At 34.2% G+C, this 21,594-nt stretch overlaps 1 protein-coding gene across 6 annotated transcripts in view, besides 1 other annotated feature; it reads left to right on the top strand.

Annotated features, from left to right (window-relative positions):
• PABPC4L (poly(A) binding protein cytoplasmic 4 like) overlaps positions 1-21,594 on the top strand; it is a 253,443-nt gene that overhangs the window by 215,095 nt on the left and 16,754 nt on the right. For 5 of the 6 annotated variants that reach the window (XR_001741133.2, XR_007096357.1, XR_001741139.2 and 2 more), the window contains 2 exons: positions 7,914-7,975; positions 8,763-8,841. The gene's annotated coding sequence lies outside the window, so the exon portion shown is untranslated. Of the gene's footprint in view, positions 1-7,913; positions 7,976-8,762; positions 8,842-9,090; positions 9,576-21,594 lie in introns of those variants that run through there. The other variant, XR_007096356.1, reaches the window with a different exon arrangement.
• Positions 17,019-17,313: a silencer, noted in NCBI's record as "tiled region #7344; HepG2 Repressive non-DNase unmatched - State 24:Quies". NCBI's record gives its function as "represses a minimal TATA promoter and a strong SV40 promoter by Sharpr-MPRA in HepG2 cells {active_cell/tissue: HepG2}" and the evidence as "EXISTENCE:reporter gene assay evidence [ECO:0000049][PMID:27701403]".

Here is a 21,594-nt window from a genome sequence, read left to right as displayed (position 1 = left end):
CTGAGATCGTGCCACTGCACTCCAGCCTGGGTGACAGAGTAAGACTCCCTCTCAAAAAAAAAAAAAAGTCTTCTCACTAAAGTACCACATGATCACAAACAGAATTATGAAGGCACATCTAATAGGCAGTCCCGAGATGTTTATTATTTTTTGATTTTCTCTTTTTTTCAAGTTTTTAATTTATGACCATATTGGTCTATTAGTATGTTGAGGTTTTGCAAATCAATTTCAGTACTTTACAGTGATATTTGTAGGTGTTTAGATCATTGACATTGTAGACAATCAAAGCATTTTATTTCTCTTATTTTCTTCTCATTGTCATTAAGTATTTGTCCTGAATAGGGAAAAAAATGCAAACAAATAATTTTTATGTCCTGAATTCCAAAATAGTGCTTTTTTCTAACTTGTAGTGTAAAGTCATCAATGTGCTTCATTTTACTTAATTTATATATCTCGTATTTTATTCTGCTTCTGGTTTGTTTTGCTATCTTAGTAAGAAAACAATAGTTTTAAAGTATTCAAAGGGATAATTTTGAAAGGAAAGATATAAAAAGTTGTTTATGTTATAAATGGAAAAATTAAATGGCAATAAGTTTTCACTACCAGACAAGCATTTAATACCTGCTACCTTAAGCTAGAAGGATATTGACATCCAAAGTTTTAATTATAAAACTTAAAAGTGTTGTGTTTGGGAAATAGTTTTCTATGGTAATACAATTAATGAAATTTTAAGCTGTGACTAATAAATATTTAATAATGATTATATAAGAGTTTATTCTCCCTTGAGTATTCTCGATGTGTACAATATAAAACAAGTGCTGTAACGTTCTGCAGACACCAGAGCTTAATAATTTTTACTGAGCTTGACATTATTCATCTGGAATCAAGTCACTTGCATTGCTATAGCTTTGGAAACCTTAATCAGAAGTTAGAGAATTTATAGTACAAGTAATATTATATGGTACATTCATGATAAGAAATTATTTGGTTTCATTATGTTGAAATATGAATATTATACTTTCAATGTTTTGGGATTCAAGAATAATTTATTAGAACAGGGAAAATAGAGATGACAAAACAAAAACAAACCCCAAATACTTCTGCCTCAAGCAATTTTACTACCTGACAACTCAATTTTTTGTTTTATCTATTAAAATCATTATAATTGCAACTATACCTGTTAGATTAACAATAGAAGTCTCTCTAAAAACAGAACTTGACACCTTGTTGAATATCCTTCTTTTTTTCTTTCAGTTTTGAATAAATTATTCTTTCTCTAAAAATTATGAATATGAGAAATATCTATATTTTAATCTTCAAATTTTTCTAAGCAAAGATATATTTGGATTTGTAATTGGAGAAACTTCTTATACTGGTATCATGCTTTTTCCTGCTTATAGTCCAATCTCCATATCACCCCCAAAGTGCATATCTGATTGAATATGAAGCAAGGAGTTGTTTGCTAATTAAATAGGTACTTCTGAATGAAGCCTGTCTTTTCCTTTACCCTGTGACTTAGGTGTTTTATATTTCAAACCTGGTGTTTTACTACCCTTGTGGAACCTATAGTTGTGATAACCATCTCTGCTCTCTGAAAAATATTTTTCTTAGGCATTTCCAGGTTTATCTCAGACATATATGCAAAATTGTATCTTCCAAGTCTTAATGGTCTATATTGACACCAGAGTCAGTTTATGTAACGTTTTCTTGGTTTATTCATTTGTTTTTGGTTTTTAAATTCTTAGCTCGATAACAACAAGCATTTCTTCCTATGAAAGTAGTGGTAGATACTTTATTCGGCTAAAGATGTCCATAATTCTATTTTCTTCCTTTAGTTCTTGTACTAGTCAGAGATGCATATGCTGTCCTATTAAATTCCCTGTTCCTGGGTTAGTCCTACTACTAATTCTTTTCTACCATTTGATTCCCTCAAATCTACTTTTTTTTCTCTATGAGTGCTCACAACTCCTTTTGCAAGAAAGAGAAACTTACAACAAGTGTCTCTAATCTCGCTGTCATTTTAACACACTTTTAAATCTCTATGGGGTGTAAAAAGAAATCAGGGCTAAATATGTAATATTCCAAAGCTATATGAAAGAATGGGTCATTTACATGATCTATTGTACCCAGAGAAATGAAAAGAAATTTCATGTCACACCTACTGGCCCAAGTAATCTGTGAAGCTGCCCTGAAAACAGTACTTTAATGATTCTTTATTATCCTGACTTTCATAGATTTCAGAGATAGTGTAAATATATTTGTGCTCTAGTTACTATCTAGTCTACCTACATGACTAATGATATACAATTATATTTAGATCATAAATAATGCCTGTCTAGTGATGAGCATTAATTTGCTCACAAAGTGAAAAAATGCCATTTTTGAATTTACATTTCTGATCTAACTCAACACCTTTAACTATATTTTATTTAGTAAAGAGTAGACAATTAAAAATGAGACCACAATTTAAAAAATTATGCATCTCATCCCAATTTCAATATTGTCTCTCTTCCAATACTGTAAAAGAGAATATTTTCACTGCCTCTTACCTACTTACCCCTTCACAGAATTTGGTGTTTTAATTTAACACATCTTTAGAAATTGTTTTTAAAGTCAATAATTATCTTTCATAAGTTGCTTACACAAACAAATATTCTTTGACATGTCTGGAGAGATGACATGTGTTTGTTGGTGCAATTGAAAATATGCCATGTTTAAACATATTTTTAATACAATATGATTTAACTTCTTCACCTAAAATTTTACTTTCAGTGGATCAGAGCTTTCAGCACTAGATTACATATATAATTTACCTATATAGATTTCTTTGTACTCTTTCTATGTGAAAGACTATACAAAATATTTAAATGGGGATTAATGATTAGTCAATATTTCAAGAATATTTGTATTCCAAAAACACCCTTAAGTTATTCAGGTAATTGTAAATATGTTGTTTTTAGGGGAATTCAGAAAATGCATTACTATTAATAAAATAAATTATCAGTATTTCAGGAATTACACTTTCTGAGTGAGACAATGTTCCAATATACCTATAAGATGCAATAAAGCTTAATTGATTTTGTCCTAAAATGTAATACAAAATATTCCAAGTTTATAGAATTATATCCACTTAGTAATCTGAAAGAATAAAATTTTATAAAAATCTGGTTCTAATTAATTTCTTTTTTTCTGGTAAGGCTGTGGCATACTTGCTGTTTATTAAATGCTACTACTTATTGTCAGAATATTATTTCCCCTTCTTAGATTCTCATTTAATTATCAAATATTAATTGTGTTATTATTTCTTTCTTGTTTTTTCAAACCTTCGCTGGGCTTATGTCAGTTCAGGACTCCAGTTTATTCTGTCAATCTGTGTTTTTTACCTTTCTGAGAGCTGGATGACTATCTAGAGTAATTTTCTTATTGTACTTGTGTTACCAGAAAGGGGCCAATTGAGCATGTAGTAGACATGAGACATTTTGCATATGACAATATATATAGATGTTATTACCTTCCTGTTGAGAAAGTTTATGAGGTTGACTCTCAAAGAGGCTAAGTTACTTACTGAAGGTAACTTTTCCAATTAGTACACCAAGTAGGTTTCTTTGGAAAATTAGGTTTGAGATTTGACACTGTAAGAACTAAACCTCCTCATTTACTTCAGCAACACAACTAATTTCTTTGAGTACAGTGGAGCTTATTTTCTTTGAAAGGTCTGGACAAATACACTTGTGACTTGAAACAGGAAAGCATTTCTGGAATATGTAAAACTTGAGACAAGTTGGTGAGTCTATTTGTTTATGAAGCATCACAAAACTATGTTAGAGATCAGCTTGTGTGTTTTACAGTTTAAAAATGTTCATATTTGTAACTGTAGGAATAGAGCATGTTTAAATGTATATACATATTTTATAGTATGACAAAATAATTAGTTTCATGTGAATTACATGTTTGACAAGTACTGTGCTCCTGAGCAGTTCAGAAAGCTAAAAATTACTTCTGAGTAATTATTTTTATATGTACTTAGAATTATGTAAGAACTAATTTTACTGCATAAAGCCACAATTACAAATTAGCATGGAATGCAACCATGACTATTTTGCTTGCTTGTGGATTGATGAGGGGAAATAAAGAAGAGAGGATGGGAGATTATGAGTTACTTTTTCTGCTCCAAAACGTTCATAACCAGCAAAGTAAATATTTGAAACTTCTTACTATTTATTAATAAACACTTTCTTTAAAATGCACACACATTTCTTATATAAGGAATTTGATAATTATGCATATTCAACCACTGCAAAAAGAATTCACCATAAATGCACTAGAGGCTTAATTAGATTTCAAGTAAGCAACTATTTCTTAAGTTTCCCTTGGTGCATAAAATCTGTCCTGGACTACTGAATAATTGTTGAAAGAGTTAAACATGAATTAAGATGGCATTAGTCACCTGTTTAACTAAAGGTTAAGGTCATGAGGAGTAGATGTTTTGTCTTTAACACTATGGCATACACTATATAAATAGGATGCTCAAAATAATATGAATAAATTTGTGTAACACTATTAAAAAAATAAGCTGCTTCATCTCTGCTTACCTTCTCCATTTGCTTCAAAAATACCTTACTTAACATCTTAAAGAAAGATTTATTTTTGACTTTCCATTACGTTTTTATAGGAAGTAGTTCAGGAATAGACGTTTATATTTTACAAGGTTTTTGATGGCAAGGCAAAATTAATTTCCTCAATATTATTAGTATCTCTGATGTTAAAAAGGGCATTAAATAATATTCATGAAATTTTCCTTTTTTATGTCCCTATACAGTAACTTTATTAAATATACAAAAAAGTCCAACCAATACAACATATGTTGATTTGAATTATAATTATTTTTCCAAGTCAGTTAAAGTTAATAATTGCATAATAAAATACCATATTCTGTACTTACTTTCTTTGTAATATCCAAAAAGCTGATGGTGTTAGTATTTCAGCAAAATGAAACTAATAAAGAGTTCCAGAACATTGATGAAAAGTACCAATTTAAAAGATATACATTAGAATTTCATCTTCTCAATGGCATTAGTGTTCATTTTTGAGTTTTAAATATCAAGCAACACATTATTTCTCTTTGCCTCTATAATTAAGTATTTTTCAGCTTCAAATTATGCTAGAAATAATTGATTGAGTGTCATTGTAATCTAAAAGAAACAATAAGTCAAATGTTCAACAGACCGAAGTATTATAATTAAAAGACAATTTTTCCCCCTGTTAAGATAAAGTGCTGATTCTGCTAAATAACCACTTAGAATTAATATCTGATGGTGAATAACATTAGTAATGCAATTTTAATTGAGCACATCTATTTTTTTCAATAGAATTGTTTTCAATGTATTATTATATAGGTTAGAGAAGACAGAAATCCGACATTTTTCAGTCAATACAAGATATAAATGGTATAAATGTATATTTTATTCTTTTAACATATTTCCTTCTTTACTGATCCAAAGGTATTAGTGCAGTTCAGTACTAAGTCACATAAAACCTAATTGAGGGTTGCCTAAAAGTATTTCAGCAATAAACCAATGACATAAAAGTTAACTTTACTCAACATAGTGGATCTTGAAAATATTTGTTACTATTTTTTTTTTTTCCCCAGTGGAGTCTTGCTCTGTCGCAGAGGCTGGAGTGCAATGGCACGATCTCCACTCACTGCAACCTCAGCCTCCCACGCTCAAGCAATTCTCCTGCCTCAACCTCCCTAGTAGCTGAAATTACAGGCGTGTGCCACTACACCCGGCTGATTTTTGTATTTTTATTAGAGATGGGGTTTCACTATTATATTGGCCAGGTTGGTCTCGAACTCCTGACCTCAAATGATCTGCCCACTTCGGCCTCCCAAAGTTTTGGGATTACAGGCGTGAGCCACTGTGCCCGGCCTTTTGGTGGTTTTTAATGAGGTGAGAAGAGCAGAAAGGCTATGTACATATTAAACAAGTATATCAAGGGATATTTCGAGGCTAGCTACATTTCTAAGATGATCATTTTTTTTAAAGTTAATAAACACTTCATAAGAGTGGAAAATTTCATAACAAGTTCCCCAAATTTCCTGTTAACTCATTGGAGTTTGATTAACCTCAAGGAAGAAATATCTCATTTTCATGATTCTCTTGGCGCATTTCGATGTCTCATAAAATGGGGTGACCAACATGTTTGGTAAATATAGCTATTGGACAAGCCAGTAACTAGAAGTTTCTCTTTCCCTGTCTCGTGTGTGTGTGCATATATAGCCTATGCCTCTTCAAATCTGGTGTATTGACATCTTACTGTGTTTTCTAGACTCAAGCTTATACTAAACAAACAAAAAGTAATAAACACACTTTGATATTTCTCCAGCTTATAAATTTCAACTTGTGGGTTGATTCTAAGACCACATCTTTCCAAGGGTAGTTTTGTTATTCAGGTTGAAGCCAATTTACCCTATATGTAAAGGCTGCTGTTAAAAAATAAGAGAAATAAAAACGAAATGAATATTTGTTAATTTGTCTCAAGGTTTGGGATTAAGCTTGACATATAAGAAGCCTAGATTTTGGTTCCTGTAGAATAATGATTAATTATTATACAAAAATACTGTTTGTCTACTGACTATAAGACACTTTGACAGGTAGTGATTAAGAATGGAAAGCCAAATTATAAAATATATGTATTTGCAGATATTTCACAAGTCTCAAGGAGATGGGGTGGAGAAGGCAACACGTAGTAAAACATGTACCTAGTATGACATCCTAAGCACTATAAACAGGAAATAATCAAAAGAAAACAAAAGATATTCTATTTCTGAACCAAATTAAAGCTAGAAAATAGAAATACATATAACACTTGAATAATGGGAATTATTGTAGCCTACAATGGAAAAACAAGATCAATTATTTGAAACATCTGATTTTTTTGGAAGACAGGAAGGCTGTGGTGTTGCAAGCTTAAGTGAACTGTAAAAATTCATGCCAAAATTAATATTTAATAAGGTAAAAATATTTTTAAAACTTCATTTTTATAAAGAAAATCCATAGATTTTAGACAGTCACATGAGGCCTGATATTCTCTAAAAAACTGATTGATTTCTTTGCAAAAGTAATATTCTCAGTAGTATTCTTTTTATCTGGTAAATGTGAGAGGACCTGTTGTATGCTTAAAGTGATAATTTCAGGCCATATCAAGGGGCTAGGACGACGTCTTTATGGAACTAATACGGAAAGCCCAGGCAAGCGATGCACAGTCCTATAGTGAAGAAGCTTTGATGTCTGTATTGCATCTGTTGGAAACATCCCTTGCCAGGACTAGAATGTTTTCATTATGAAAGCACTATAATGATACTTTCTATACAACGTGTTCTTATTCTTCCTTCCACTCATTGTTCTCAGGGTTCCTCCTACTCCTTTATTTAAAAATTACATTGACTATATTTGTTCTTTGACTCTTCCATTTGAACTTTAGGATTAGCTTACAAAATTTTTCAGAAAAACAGTTCTGCTGTAAATTGCATAAAAATTGTATTAGATTTATCAAATAACATGGAAAGAATTAGACTTAGAAATTTTTGTTCTGTTTTGCTCACTGAGATTCCCTAATTCCTCAGAAAAGGGCCTGACACTTAGTCAACTTTAATAATTGTTGGATCAATGTTAGATCTTTTCGATATCAATTTTTCCCACCCATGAACATGGAAAATCTTTTCATTTATTTAGGAAGATTTTATGTTTTTAATTATAATTATACAAAAGATCTTGAAAGCATCAATCTCTAGGTAACTTACAATTTTTGTTGCTACTATAATTGCGTCTTTTCAAATTACATTATATGAATGTTTGCTGCTGGTTTATAAGGTCATAACTGACAAACTGTCTTGTTAATTGTATTTGTAGATGTCCAGTAATTTCCTGGATAGAAATTTTATTATCTGCAAAGAATGATATCACATCACAAGGTAATTATATTATAAAATCTCTGCAATTTGCTAAAGTTAGTGAAACTTAAGTTAGGGAATATAACAAAAGAGAATATTGGGATTTGAGAAGAAGCAAAAAGTAGAAACAAGATCACAAGAGAGTAATAATATAAATTTATATTCAATTCTTCCTAACAGAGAGGCCAGTTTTCCCAACTGTAAAACATGTGAGCAAGGCTGAAGAATAATGTCTGCCTTTTTAACCTAGAATATTTTATATTGGAGATACACACAACACACACACACACACACACACAGCCTCCACCTCCCGGGCTCAAGCTATCCTTCCACCTCTAACTCCTGGGTAGTAGGGACCACAGGTGCACGCAATTACATCCAGCTATTTTGTCGTTATTATTATTATTTGTAGAGATGAAGTATTGCCATGCTGCTTAGGCTGGTCTTGAACTCCTGGGCTCAAGTGATCCTCTTGCCTTGGCCTCCCAAATTGGTGGGATGACAGGCATAAGCCACCACACCCATCCTGCAACTGATTTTTACTATCTCTCTTTTCTACTACCCATTCTGAACTCTTTTTGCTCTTATCTAGCACCTCTGCTGGTCCAGATGGGGTGGAGCAACAGAGCCCTCAGCTTTGAGTTGTTTGAGTTATCTGGAACATATACATCTTACTATGGCCTGTAACATACTTGTTGCTTTCAGCACATCTGGTGCAATTAAAATAATGTCATTCATAGAGTAGATCAATGATGTCATTCATACATACTGTGATTTAAAAAATGTTATTTATACATATGTCCTGCAGGATGTCCAGGTAATCCAGTTCCCTGTGCACTATATTACTACACATGCCAAAAGAGTTAACACTACCCTTGAGCAAGAAGGTAAGTGTTTATGCCTTTCTACCCAAAAATAATGCAAACTGTTTCTGACCTTTTATTCTAATAGAAATGGAAAAACAAATGTTATATTAGTGATTGCCAGATAGTACCATACCATGTACCTGGGAATATGTTAACGTGTTCTAGAAAATACATAGCATCTGGCATGGCAATATTTATTGAGATTACAATTTATTGGGTTGATTTTGTAGTAGTCTATTGGCATTCATGAGCCTTTCAAATTTTTAAGAGTGACACCAGTTTCTACAAAATCCATCAAGATTATGTAAATATATGTGTATCCAAGAGAATAAAATACCTAGGAATACAGCTAACAAGGGAAGTGAAGGACCTCTTTAAGGAGAGCTACAAACCATTGCTAAAGGAAATCAGACAGGACACAAACAGATGGAAAAACATTCCATGCTCATGGATGGAAGAAATATCAAAAAAATGGCCATACTGCCCAAAACAATTTGTAGATTCAGTGCTATTCCCATTAAACTACCATTGACATTCTTCACAGAATTAGAAAAAAACTATTTAAAAAATCATACAGAACGACAAAAAAGCTCATATAGCCAAGACAATCCTAAGCAAAGAGAAGAAAGCTGAAGGCATTATATTGCCTGACTTCAAACTATACTACAAGGCTACAGGAAGCAAATCAGCATGCTACTAGTACAAAAACAGGCACATAGACCAATGGAAAGAATAGAGAACTCAGAAATAAAACCACACATCTCCAACGATCTGATCTTCAACAAACAAGACAAAAACAAGCAATAGGGACAGGAGTCCCTATTTAATAAATGGTGCTGGGAGAACTGGCTAGCCATATGCAGAAAATTAAACCTGGACCACTTTCTTATACCTTATACAAAAATTAACTCAAGATGGATTAAATACTTAAATGTAAAACCCAAAACTATAAAAATTCTAGAAGAAAGTCTAGGTAACACCATTCAGGACATAGACATGGGCAAAGATTTTATGATAAAATCACCAAAAGCAATTCTAACGAAAGCAAAAATTGACAAATGGGATCTAATTAAAATAAAGAGCTTCTGGGAGAAAATTTTTGCAATCTATCCATCTGACAAAGGTCTAATATCCAGAATCTACAAGGAACTCACGCAAATTTACAAGGAATAAACAAACAACCCCATTAAAAAGTGGGCAAAGGACATGAACAGATATTTCTCAAAAGAAGACATTTATGCAGCCAACAAATATATGAAAAAAAGATCAATATCACTGATCATTAGAGAAATGCAAATCAAAACCACAATGAGATACCATCTCATGCCAGTCAGAATGGTGATTATTAAAAAGTCAAGAAACAACAGATGCTGGTGAGGTTGCAGAGAAATATGAAAGCTTTTACACTGTTGGTGGGAATGTAAATTAATTAAAACATTGTGGAAGACAGTGTGGCTATTCCTCAAAGATTTAGAATCAGAAATACTATTTGACCCAGCAATCCCCTTACTGGGTATAAACCGAAAGGAATATAAATATGGTCATTCTATTATAAAGATATGTACACGCATATGTTCATTGCAGCACTAGTCACAATAGCAAGGACATGGAATCAACCCAAATGCCCATCAATGATAGACTGAATAAATAAAATGTGATACATATACACTATGGAATACCATGCAGCCATAAAAAGAATGAGAACATTCCCTTTCCAGGGACGTGAATGGAGCTGAAAGCCATTATCCTCAGGAAACTAACAGACAAACAGAAAACCGAACACCACATATTCTCACTTATAAGTAGAACCTGAACAATGAGAACATATGGACCCAGGGAGAGGAACAACACAAACTGGGCTCTGTTGGGGGAAGGTGGCAGGGGAGAGCATCAGGAAACATAGCTAATGCTTGCTGGGCTTAATACCTAGGTTGATAGATGCAACAAACCACTATGGCACACATTTACCTATGTAACAAACCTGCACATCCTGACATGTACCCCGGAACTTAAAATAAAATAAAATAAAAATAAATATATGTGTTTGTGTGAGAGAGAGACAGAAAGAGAGAGAGTGTGTGTGTATGAGAAATTTTCTCCTGGGCTTTCTCATTACAAATGCTCTTATATTTTTATATCAGGATTCAAGAAAGTGATGTGAAAATTCTACCACCAAGTATGTTCACTCCAGTTATGGAGTTAGGTATGATGAAAAGTGACCACTTGCTCATTTCCTGGATACAGTGGATTCACTATGTCCCGAACTGAGCTAGGATTCCTTTTATTGCCTTATCATCATGCCTCTGTTATAATGGGGGTTAGGAGGGAAAATGACTCTTTAGTCTCTGAGAATCAATCTTAAAATAGACCATACAGTCCTCAAAGTATTTGGATGTTTCAGTTTCCCCAGTGTATCTTTACCAAAGAATGTGTTTTTCTGACTAAAAATTAGAGAGTCATTTAGAAATTTTATTATAGCAAATTTATTGAGATATAATTCACGTAATATAAAAATCACCCTTTTTAAATGCACAATTTAGTGAGTTTTAGTATATTCAGAAGGTGGTGCTACCATTATATCTTATTCTAGAAAATTTTCATCACCCAAAAAGAAACCCAATACTCATTAGTGATCCCTCCACATTTCCCCTTCCCCCAGTCTGCAGCAAACACTAATCTACTTTTCTTCTCCATGGATTTGCCTATTATGGAGATTTATGTAAATGGAATCACACAATATGCATCTTTTCATGTCTGGCTTCTTTAGTATATTTTCAAGGTTTATTCATGTTGTGATATATATTTGTACCTTATTCCTTTCAATTGCTGAATAATATTCCTTTATATAGCCAATCCCATTTTGTTGATCCAATTTTCAGTTAATACAAATTTTTGTTGTTTCCACTATCTGGCAATTGTGAATAATGATGCTATGAATATTTATGTACAAGATATTGAGTGAACATGAGTTTTAATTTTCCTGGGTATACACCTGGAGTGAAATTGCTAGATCATATGATAAGTCTATGTTAACTTTATCAGAGTCTATCAAACTTTTTTTCCAAAGAGGCTGTATAATCCTAAATTCTGAACAACAAAATTTGAGAGTTCCAGTTGCTCCACATTTTTGCTAATACTTATAATTTTCCATATTTTTATTTACAGCAATATTAGTAGGTGTCGAGTGGTATCTCATGGTTCTTTTCATTTTCTTAAGCATATTTGCATGTGTTATTGGCCTTTGTACACATCCTTTGGAGAGACGTATGTTAAAATTACTTGACCCTTTTTAATTGGCTTATGTGACTTTTTGTTGTTCAGATGAAGAATTTATTTATAGTCTGTATTCAAGTTCCTTATCAGATATATAATTTGCAAATATTTTTCTATTATGTTGGTTATCTTTTTACTTAATTGATAGTATCACTTGAAACACAAAGGGTTTTAGTTTTGGTCAGGCCCAATATATCTATTGTTTTTTTTCTTTTCTTTTCACTGTGCTTTTGATATTTCATTTAAAAAACATTTGGTTAACCCAAGTCAAGAATATTTAACGCTATGTTTTCTTCTAAGGATTTCATAATTTAAAATTCTTAGTTTGTAGTCTTATATTTACATCTCTGATCTATTTTAAGTTAATTTTTGTGTACAGTGTGAGGTAGGAGTTTAACATTCTTCTGTGGCATGTGGATATCTAGCTGTTCCAGCACCAAGTGTTGAAAAGACTATTCTCCATTAAATTGTCTTGGTACCGTTGTTGAAAATCAGTGGATCATAAATTTGAGGGGTTTTTTTGGACATTCAATTATTTCCCAATTATCTATATTTTTATCCTTATGCCAGTAGCATACTCTCTTGATTACTGCAATTTGTAGCAACTTTTGAAATCAGAAAGTGTGAGTTATCCAACATTGTTTTTACTTTTCAAGGATAATTTGGCCTTTCTGGTTTCCTTACATTATTAGATTTAGATTTAGATTTAGATTATCTCAAGCCTCCTGAGTGTTTCCACAATCCTGGGTATATGAACATCTCTGTGCATTTGCATACATAACATTTTATATTTCCAGGAGCTTGTCAGAGTTTTCAAAGGACCTATAGACATATAACTCCCTAATTTTTCATTTTAAGTGGTTTGGCTAGCCTCTTACTAGTCCCAACAGGTGGGGCTGACTGAAGAACCTTTAATATTAAACAATGGCAGCTGACTGTTTTTGACAAATGTGTTGTATATGCATTGTTAACACTGAGTGAAGTCTAAGTTAGGTCAAATAAAGATAAACTGAGTGGTGTTTTCCAGAAAGTTTCCAGGTGGTCAAATAGTGATAATTCCCTGTGATGTGGAGTTTTGGGATCTCCAAACCCATTCAGTTCCTTTCAGTGGCTGATAAGGTACTGGTTTTCATCAGTCATGACAATCATGAGGCCATTGGTTTTCAAGGATAATGCAAAGCCATGGAGAAGGGAATGGGATTAGAGCACATTAAAATAGTGACAAAGTTCAATATTTTACCTAGATTCAGCTATTTTTATTGGATAAGTCTTCCTTCAATTGTTGTAAACATTTAGCTGTTTTCCAGAGTTCTGAAAAAGTTTATATCAGCTTTTTTTTTTTCCTATGCTCTTATTGCTGTTATGGGGCATCAGATTTTTGTAAGTCCTTTCTTTGCCATTCAGGAAGTGTTCCCATTATGATATATACTTGACATGGTGGTTTCCTGTTTTCTTTGTTTGTTTTTAGAAGATCTTCTTTAGCCAATAAATTGTGGGTCTGAATCCCTGCTCCATTTCATAAACAAGGCAATAAATCAAGACATTTAATTGGGATTTATGGCATCAACCTCTATCAACTATTCTTGCTTTATTTTGGTCATATATATTTAGCAGTAAACTTGTTGGCTACCTAGATATCTTACATGTAGGGAAATTATATTCTATCTATTAACAATTTCTGTGGCTCTCTGCTTGTCAGGACATCCAGACCTTATGAGTAATTATGCTAATGGCACTCAGCATGTTTCTGACAGCTAGTTTCTGCCATCTCGCTTCTGTGTTTGAGGTCCTGTTATAACAATTACTGCCAAACAAAACAGTGCTGTATAGTATCTCTTACTGTCAGCACTGTATTATATGAGACCTACAACAATGATCTTCTTAATGATGCTAGGGCCCTTTACCCCAGTGCATATTTATTATGTCGGTAAGCAGAGTCTCCTCTAGGCTCTCTCATGGGACATAGGCAGCAGATGGATTTTTCAGCCTTACATAATATGTTCACTCTAGCATGCTCAACTATATGAGTCTTTTGATCTTTTTCACTATGATTTGCCATGGCAGTCCTATCAATTGTTGTTCACATCAAATTACTAATTGAGGTTCACCATTTTTTCAGTTTTATGAAACATCTTATTATGTCTGCATCATCACCACGAAACATGAAAATAATCTTGAGTAAAGTCGCTTTCTTGACCCAAAGGAACTCCCAGAGATGGACTCATCTGAGAGTCTTGAGTGACAATACTATCTGCCCCTAGATAAATGGATGCTTCAGTCTTGGAGTGTGAAAACAGGGGGGTATGTGTGACACATAACAGTATTTGCTATATCTGTCCAAGGAAATAATTTCATTGTCAGAAAAGTAGGGATTCATTCAAAATAAGTATACTATTTTGATAAGCAGTATATAGTTTGGGTTCTGGACTAGCAACTAGAGTATATTTGCTTTAATCACCCCTAACCAAAATGAAATTATTATGCCACCAATGATATTGGGTTCATTAAAATACATACTACAACATTCAGGAATATGTTACTGGGTTATAAGGAGCTCCATCTGGATCTAAGCAATGAGAACAATCGTAACTCCTAGATCTTAGCATTCAATTAGGTGCAGTAATTGGTAGAGTCCTGGACAAGTCTACTTTTCAGAAAGTTAAGCATGGTTTATTTTGTATGCTGGGTTATGGTAGTGAAGAAATTATTTGAATGTTGGTAATTTATTTATCCAAGAAACATTAAATTCAAAATTACCAATATAAAGAGTATTGTGAATGAGAAGGGCACAAATTTTTGAGAGGGCATATTAAGAATATTTTACCCAGTTTAAAAGTCAGACAATACATTCCTGAGGAATTGAAAATTGAATTGAAATCTGTGGGATCTAAGGTTGCAACATGAAAACGGGGAGAAAAAGCATGCTGTTCATAATGAAAAGTATGAAGTATGTGCAAAGATCCTATTTTGTGAGGGAATGGTACATGCTAAAAACAGAAAGAAGCCCTGTGACTCTGGAATAGAAAGACCAAGTGACAGAGGTGGCAAAACATTAAATCATGGATATAGATAGGACCAGACAATGTGGGACATTTTAAGCACTGTCTGAGATTTTGGTTGCTGAGTGATATTATTTGATCTTCAGAAAAATTACTTTGGCTGCATTGACAAAGAGAAACTGGAGGACAGAGTAGAAGATGCTAGACACGAAACTGGCTCCTGGGCCAATGTGGCAGTCCAGGTGTGAGGGTGAGGCTGGTTTTTGTAGTAACAATAAAAGTGAAATAATATTAAAGAATTTAAGGCCGGGCGCGGTGGCTCACGCCTATAATCCCAGCACTTTGGAAGAATGAGGCGGGCGGATCACGAAGTCAGGAGATGGAGACCATCCTGGCTAACATGGTGAAACCCCGTCTCTACTAAAAATACAAAAAATTAGCCGGGCGTGGTGGCGGGCCCCTGTAGTCTTAGCTACTCCGGAGGCTGAGGCAGTAGAATGCGTGAACCCAGGAGGCGGAGCTTGCAGTGAGCCGAGATTGTTCCACTGCACTCCAACCTGGGCGACAGAGTGAGACTCCGTCTCAAAAAAAAAAAAAAAAAAAAAAAAGAATATAAGATTTACCTAGGTAGTGAATTCTACAGGACCTAGATATACACTGAACATGATGAGTAAAAGAGAGGAGATAGTGGTCACTGGGTCATGATGGATGGGGATTGTCTTAGTCTGTTTGGGCTACTATAACAAAATATCATAGATTAGGAGACATATAAACAACAGAAATTTATGTCTTATGATTATGGAAACTGGGAAGTTCCAGGACAAGGTATTGGGCAGATTTTGTGTCTGGTCAGGGCTTGCTTTCTGATTCACAGATGGCAGTCTCTTTACTGCATCCTCACATAGCAGAAGGGGTGAGAGAGTTCTCTTGGTCCTTTTTAATAAGGACACTAATCTCATCAGAAGAGCTGTGCTCTCATGACCTAATCACCTACCCAAATCCCTACCTCCTAATACTACCACCTTGAGGGTTAGAATTTCAACGTATGAATTTTGAGGGGACACATATATCCAGAACATGGCAGTGATGTTACACCCTGAGACTGGTTCAACTGAAAGAGAACTGTGTAAATGCACGCAGATATGCTTGATGAAAGAAAGAGGGAAAAATAACATTTTTAACTAGGAACATATTTAATTAAAAGTGCCTCTAAGATAGCCAAAAGCAATTTTCAACATGGCAGTTTGATGCAATCATAGCTCAGAGGGGATGCTTTAGCTGTGGGTCCAGATTTTCAGCCATCTCTGTATATTTTAAGATATAATTGTGGATGAGATTGCTTAGGGATAGAATGTAAAATGAGGAAAGAGGAGTAGACCAAGCATGAAAATTCCTGATGCTCCAATATCTAATAGTTGGAATAAAACAGATGAAAATGCAACAACACTAAAAAGAAATTGGCCAGAGATGGCAGAAAAATCGAGACAATGTGGAGTCACTTTTGTCGAAGGAGGACTTCTTCAAGAAAGGAGAGGCGTGATCTTTGAAGTCAAATTCTACTAAGATGTCAAGTTAGATACAAACTAGAAATATATATATATTTTATATAAATAAATATATATTTTTTAAATATATATATTTTTTAAATATTTTAAATATTTTAAATAAATAAATAAATATATATATATTTCTTTGATTTAACAAGAAAGTTGTGTGTAACCTTAGCAAGCACTGTTTTGGTAGATTGATTTGAGAAAGATCAGACTGAGCTGAAGAAGAAGTGAAAGAAAAAGTGGAGACAGCAATTTTAGGAACTGTTTTATTCAGAAACCTGCATTCAAAAGAGATAAGAGGAAAAGGGTAGCTGGATAGCTGAAGTATGATAGTCAAGATAAGCGTTTTTGTTTGTGTGTTTGGTAGTGTGCGTATGTGTGTGAGAGAGGTGAGAATAGGAAGGCAGGGAACATTTGTCGCTTTGTTTTACTCAGCAGCCCTTTTTTCTTCATATGGGAACAACACCCTTCCCTTTTGGCAGAATGCCCACCCCACATGCCATGTGTTTCTGCAAGTGCTAGCTAATCAAAGCATCCTAATCTGTGACCACATTGATGCAGTCATTGAGTCTTTGTTGGGGTTATTACATATGTGCATTTTGAGAGGGAGTTTTCTGTTTCTTTCAGTTGTTTTTATGGAATAATGTAAGCCTGGCACCAAGGACTCCTGCTGGCTGCACAAAGGCAGATAAAAGTTAGTGACTGGGAGATGAAATTCAGCCTAAATGCCACTTGTCAAGCCATGTGCCGACACAGGCCTGCTTCCACCAGAGGAAGAGGCACACTTTTCTCTGATGAGTCCAGCTCATATGGCTGAGTCTATTTTAAATGGGGTATGATTTTATAATTTCTTTATCTAGACAATTTCATTTTCAGTTTCACAGAAAAGTTTCATAAAAACCACTCAGTGGTGGTATTGATTAAAGCAATCTCTTGCCATTTCCCTGGAATTAGTTCATAGAGAAACATGCACAAAGCTTTGTATCAAGTGTATATAGAGTGAGAAGGAAATATGTATGAGAACAGAGAAGTGAGAAAACATCAAACTCTCTGTCTCTCACACAAACACAGAGAGAGAGAGATTTGAATTTATAATCTGTGCCCCTCTCAGACCCGAGACCCAAACCACACCTGTACTTCCCAGTTAATAACAATCAATTTCCTTTTAAAAGTTTCTCCTATTAGACCCCAGGTTGGGTGTCTAGTTTGAGTTAGGATTTTGCCATTTTAAACTAAAACATTCTGATTACTACACTGCATATTTTATAAATGAAAAATTAAATATTGCCATTTCTCTTTGACCTGTGTATGAAAATCACTCTTGTATGGCTTGAGATAAATGTATTTGGAATCAAAGTCAAATCACCTATGTCTTTACCTGCCTGTAACCTAGAAACAGATTTCATCATTTCTCCAGCATTATAAGTTTTTCTTTATGTCATATAGAGTATTATTTTTTTCTTTTTTTCTTATGTAAGAGGGATAACTTCTGGCTAGTTATCCGTTTACTATAGTGCCTTGTTATCCATGGCAATGGTCTATTTACGTGGCCCATTTTTTGTTTTTTGTATTCACAACTGGAGCCACTTTAAGCCCCTTCAAAGATCAAATCTTTCTCCAGTTCCAAGTTCAATCCTGTCGCTATTGATGGTGAAGTTTAAGAACTTTTGCTCAGTAATGTTTGTGTTATTCAGCCCCAAGACGTCCTAGACAATGGATTCTCTGTTCTGTACTCCAATTTTATTAGCTCCACCCTTTATTTCCTGACCAAGAACTTGACATTTATCACGTTGTCAACAAGCATGTCTGTTGGGATGTGAGGAGGATGTTTTTTCCCAGTCTGTCTCCTCTGGTTTCCACAAAATGAGATTATTCTAAGACCTCCTAATCTCTAGCCTATTCCCACATGCACTACTTTCCAAGGGAACTTGGAGTAATTTCTGAGGTGGTGAATTTGGAATCCTAAACCTCAAAGAAAGCAAATTTCTCTGGTCTAGTTCCCTATGCCATTAGTCTTGTATGGGTTGATCTCCTATATGGAAAGCCTATAATATTCCTGCGACTAAATGGCGAAGACTCTATAATTTTGTGTTTCACTAGTAGGATGTCATTTATTCCTGTACCATCCAATCTAGGTCTTATCAGTGATAAAGGAATCTGTTACACTCTTTTCTGTCTATTGTCTCACTTTATATTAAACTCAGCCAGAGAAAGGGGGTATTCTATTGGGACATCCACAATTCTAAACACATTTTCATATTTCATAAGACTAAACCTTTAACTTTTAAGCTTATATTCTTGCCTTGCCTTTAAAGTTGCTTGGCATCACATTCCTACACTTTGCCTGAGTCCTGGTGCCATATTCAGGGGCTCTGTGATGTTTTGACATAGCCTACATTCTTATAGTTCTGCTCATATCCTGATTCTAGCCTTTGTTCAATAGTAAGAATATTTGGCAGTTAACTATTATCTTTTTCTTAGAGATGCTGCCGCCTCATTGCATTCTTTCCCCTTGGCATATCAACTAAACATTTTCCTGATCCTCTAGCAATTCTTGTTCAGTGTCCTTGTCTAGGTCCTCTTCTTCTATTTAAAGTCCAAATATTAGAAGTCTTCATTGTTCTGAGGTCTCTCTTCTCTCTCTGCATTCTCTTCTTAGGTTATTTAAAGGACATCTTTAAGACACTTTGCACTAAATGTATATCTCCAGAGTAGACCACTTTAATATATATCTCCAAAGTAGACCACTTTTTTGAGTTCCATACTCATATGTTTATCTGTTTTTCACCTAGAGTGGAATGTCTTTCAAGACTTTTATTTATTCTTTTTTTGTTTGTTTGTTTGTTTGTTTGTTTTTGAGTCTGGGTCTTGCTATATTGCTGAGACTGGTCTTGAGCGTCTGGCCTTAAGAAATCGTCTTGTCTGGGCCTCCAAACTGCTGGGATTACATGCATGGGCCACCGTGCCTGGCCCTCTCAACACTTTTAAATTTAATACATTTAAAACTGAACTCTTGATTTTCTTTCATACTAGTCGTTTTTCTATCTGTTTTTCTCATCTCCTCAAATATCATTACCATTTACCTTTAGAGCAAATTTGGGGTCATTCTTGGTACTTCCTTCTCTTTAATACCTTAATTACATACATCTCCAAATTCCATTACTTGTTTTTTCTAGTTTCTCAGTTACTTGTTTCCTCTGCTACTGTCACCACCTTAAAGATCAAGGTACATTTCTTTCACCGGAACACCAAAATAACCTTCAAACTGGTCTGCATTGCTAATATGTTTTTGAAACCATTTCAAAAGCTTCTCATTGCAGTTTATTTTTTATTCCTTGCCCCACTCCCACCCTACCCCCAAGTCCCCAAAGTCCATTGTATCATTCTTATGTCTTTGTGTCCTCATAGTTTAGCTCCCACGTATCAGTGAGAACATACGATGTTTGGTTTCTCATTCCTGAGTTACTTCACTTAGAATAATAGTCTCCAGTCTCATCCAGGAGACTGTGAATGCCATTAATTCATGCTTTTTTATGGCTGAGTAGTATTCCATTGTATATAAATATACCACAGTTTCTTTATCCACTAGTTTATTGATGGGCATTTGGGTTGGTTCCACGATTTTGCAATTGCAAATTGTGCTGCTATAAACATATGTGTGCAAGTATCTTTTACGTGTAATGCCTTCTTTTTCTCTGGGCAGATACTCAGTAGTGGGATTGCTGGTTCAAATGGTAGTTTCACTTTTAGTTCTTTAAGGAATCTCCACACTGTTTTGCATAACGGTTTTACTAGCTTACATTCCCATGAACAGTGTAGAAGTGTTCCCTGGCATCCAGACCAACATCTACTGTTTTTTGATTTTTTTATTATGGCCATTGTTACAGAAGTAATGTGGTATCACATTGTGGTTTTGATTTGCATTTCCCTGATCATTAGAGGTGTTGATCATTTTTTCATAATGTTCGTTGGCCATTTGTATATCTTCTTTTGAGAATATCTATTCATGTCCCTAGCCCACTTTTTGATGGAATTGTTTTTTTCTTGTTGATTCGAGTTCCTTGTAGATTCTGAATATTAGACCTTTGTTAGATATACAGATTGTAAAATTGTCTCCCATTCTGTGGTTTTTCTGCTTCCTCTGCTGACTGTTCCTTTTGTTGTGCAAAAGCTCTTTATTTTAATTAAGTTCCAGTTATTTATCTCTGTTTTTATTGCATTTGCTTTTGGGTTCTTGGTCATGAAATCCTTGTCTAAGCCAATGTCTAGAAGGGTTTTTCTGATGTTATCTTGTAGAATTTTTATGGTTTCAAGTCTTAGTTAAGTCATTGATCCATCTTGAGTTGATTTTTGTTTAAGGTGAGAGATGAAGGTCCAGTTTCATTCTCCTACATATGGCTAGCCAATTATCTATCCTAGCATCATTTGTTGAAAAGGGTGTCCTTTCCTCACTTTATGTTTTTGTTTGTTTTGTCAAAGATCAGTTGGCTGCAAGTATTTGGGTTCATTTCTGGATTCTCTATTCTGTTCCATTGGTCTATGTGAATATTTGTGTATCAGTGCCATGCTGTTTTGGTGACTATGGCCTTAGAGTGTAGTTTGAAATAAGATAGTATGATGCCTCCAGATTTGTTATTTTTGTTTAGTCTTGCTTTGGCTATGTGGGCTCTTTTTTGGTTCCATATGAATTTTAGATTTTTTTTTCTTTCTGTGAAGAAAGATGGTGGTATTTTGATGGGGCTTGCATTGAATTTGTAGATTGCTTTTGGCAGTATGGTCATTATCACACTATTGATTCTACCCATCCATGAACATGGGATGTGTTTTCATTTGTTTGTGTCATCTCTCATTTCTTTCAGCAGTGTTTAGTAGTTTTCTTTGTAGAGGTCTTTCACCTCCTTGGTTAGGTATATTCCTAAATATTTCAGATTTTTTGCAGCTATTGTAAA

Source organism: Homo sapiens, chromosome 4 (genome assembly GCF_000001405.40).
Source record: "Homo sapiens chromosome 4, GRCh38.p14 Primary Assembly".
NCBI classification, from domain to species: Eukaryota; Metazoa; Chordata; class Mammalia; order Primates; family Hominidae; genus Homo; species Homo sapiens.
The sequence above is the reverse complement of the archived record's forward strand: the minus strand, read 5'-3'. Positions and strand labels throughout refer to the sequence as shown.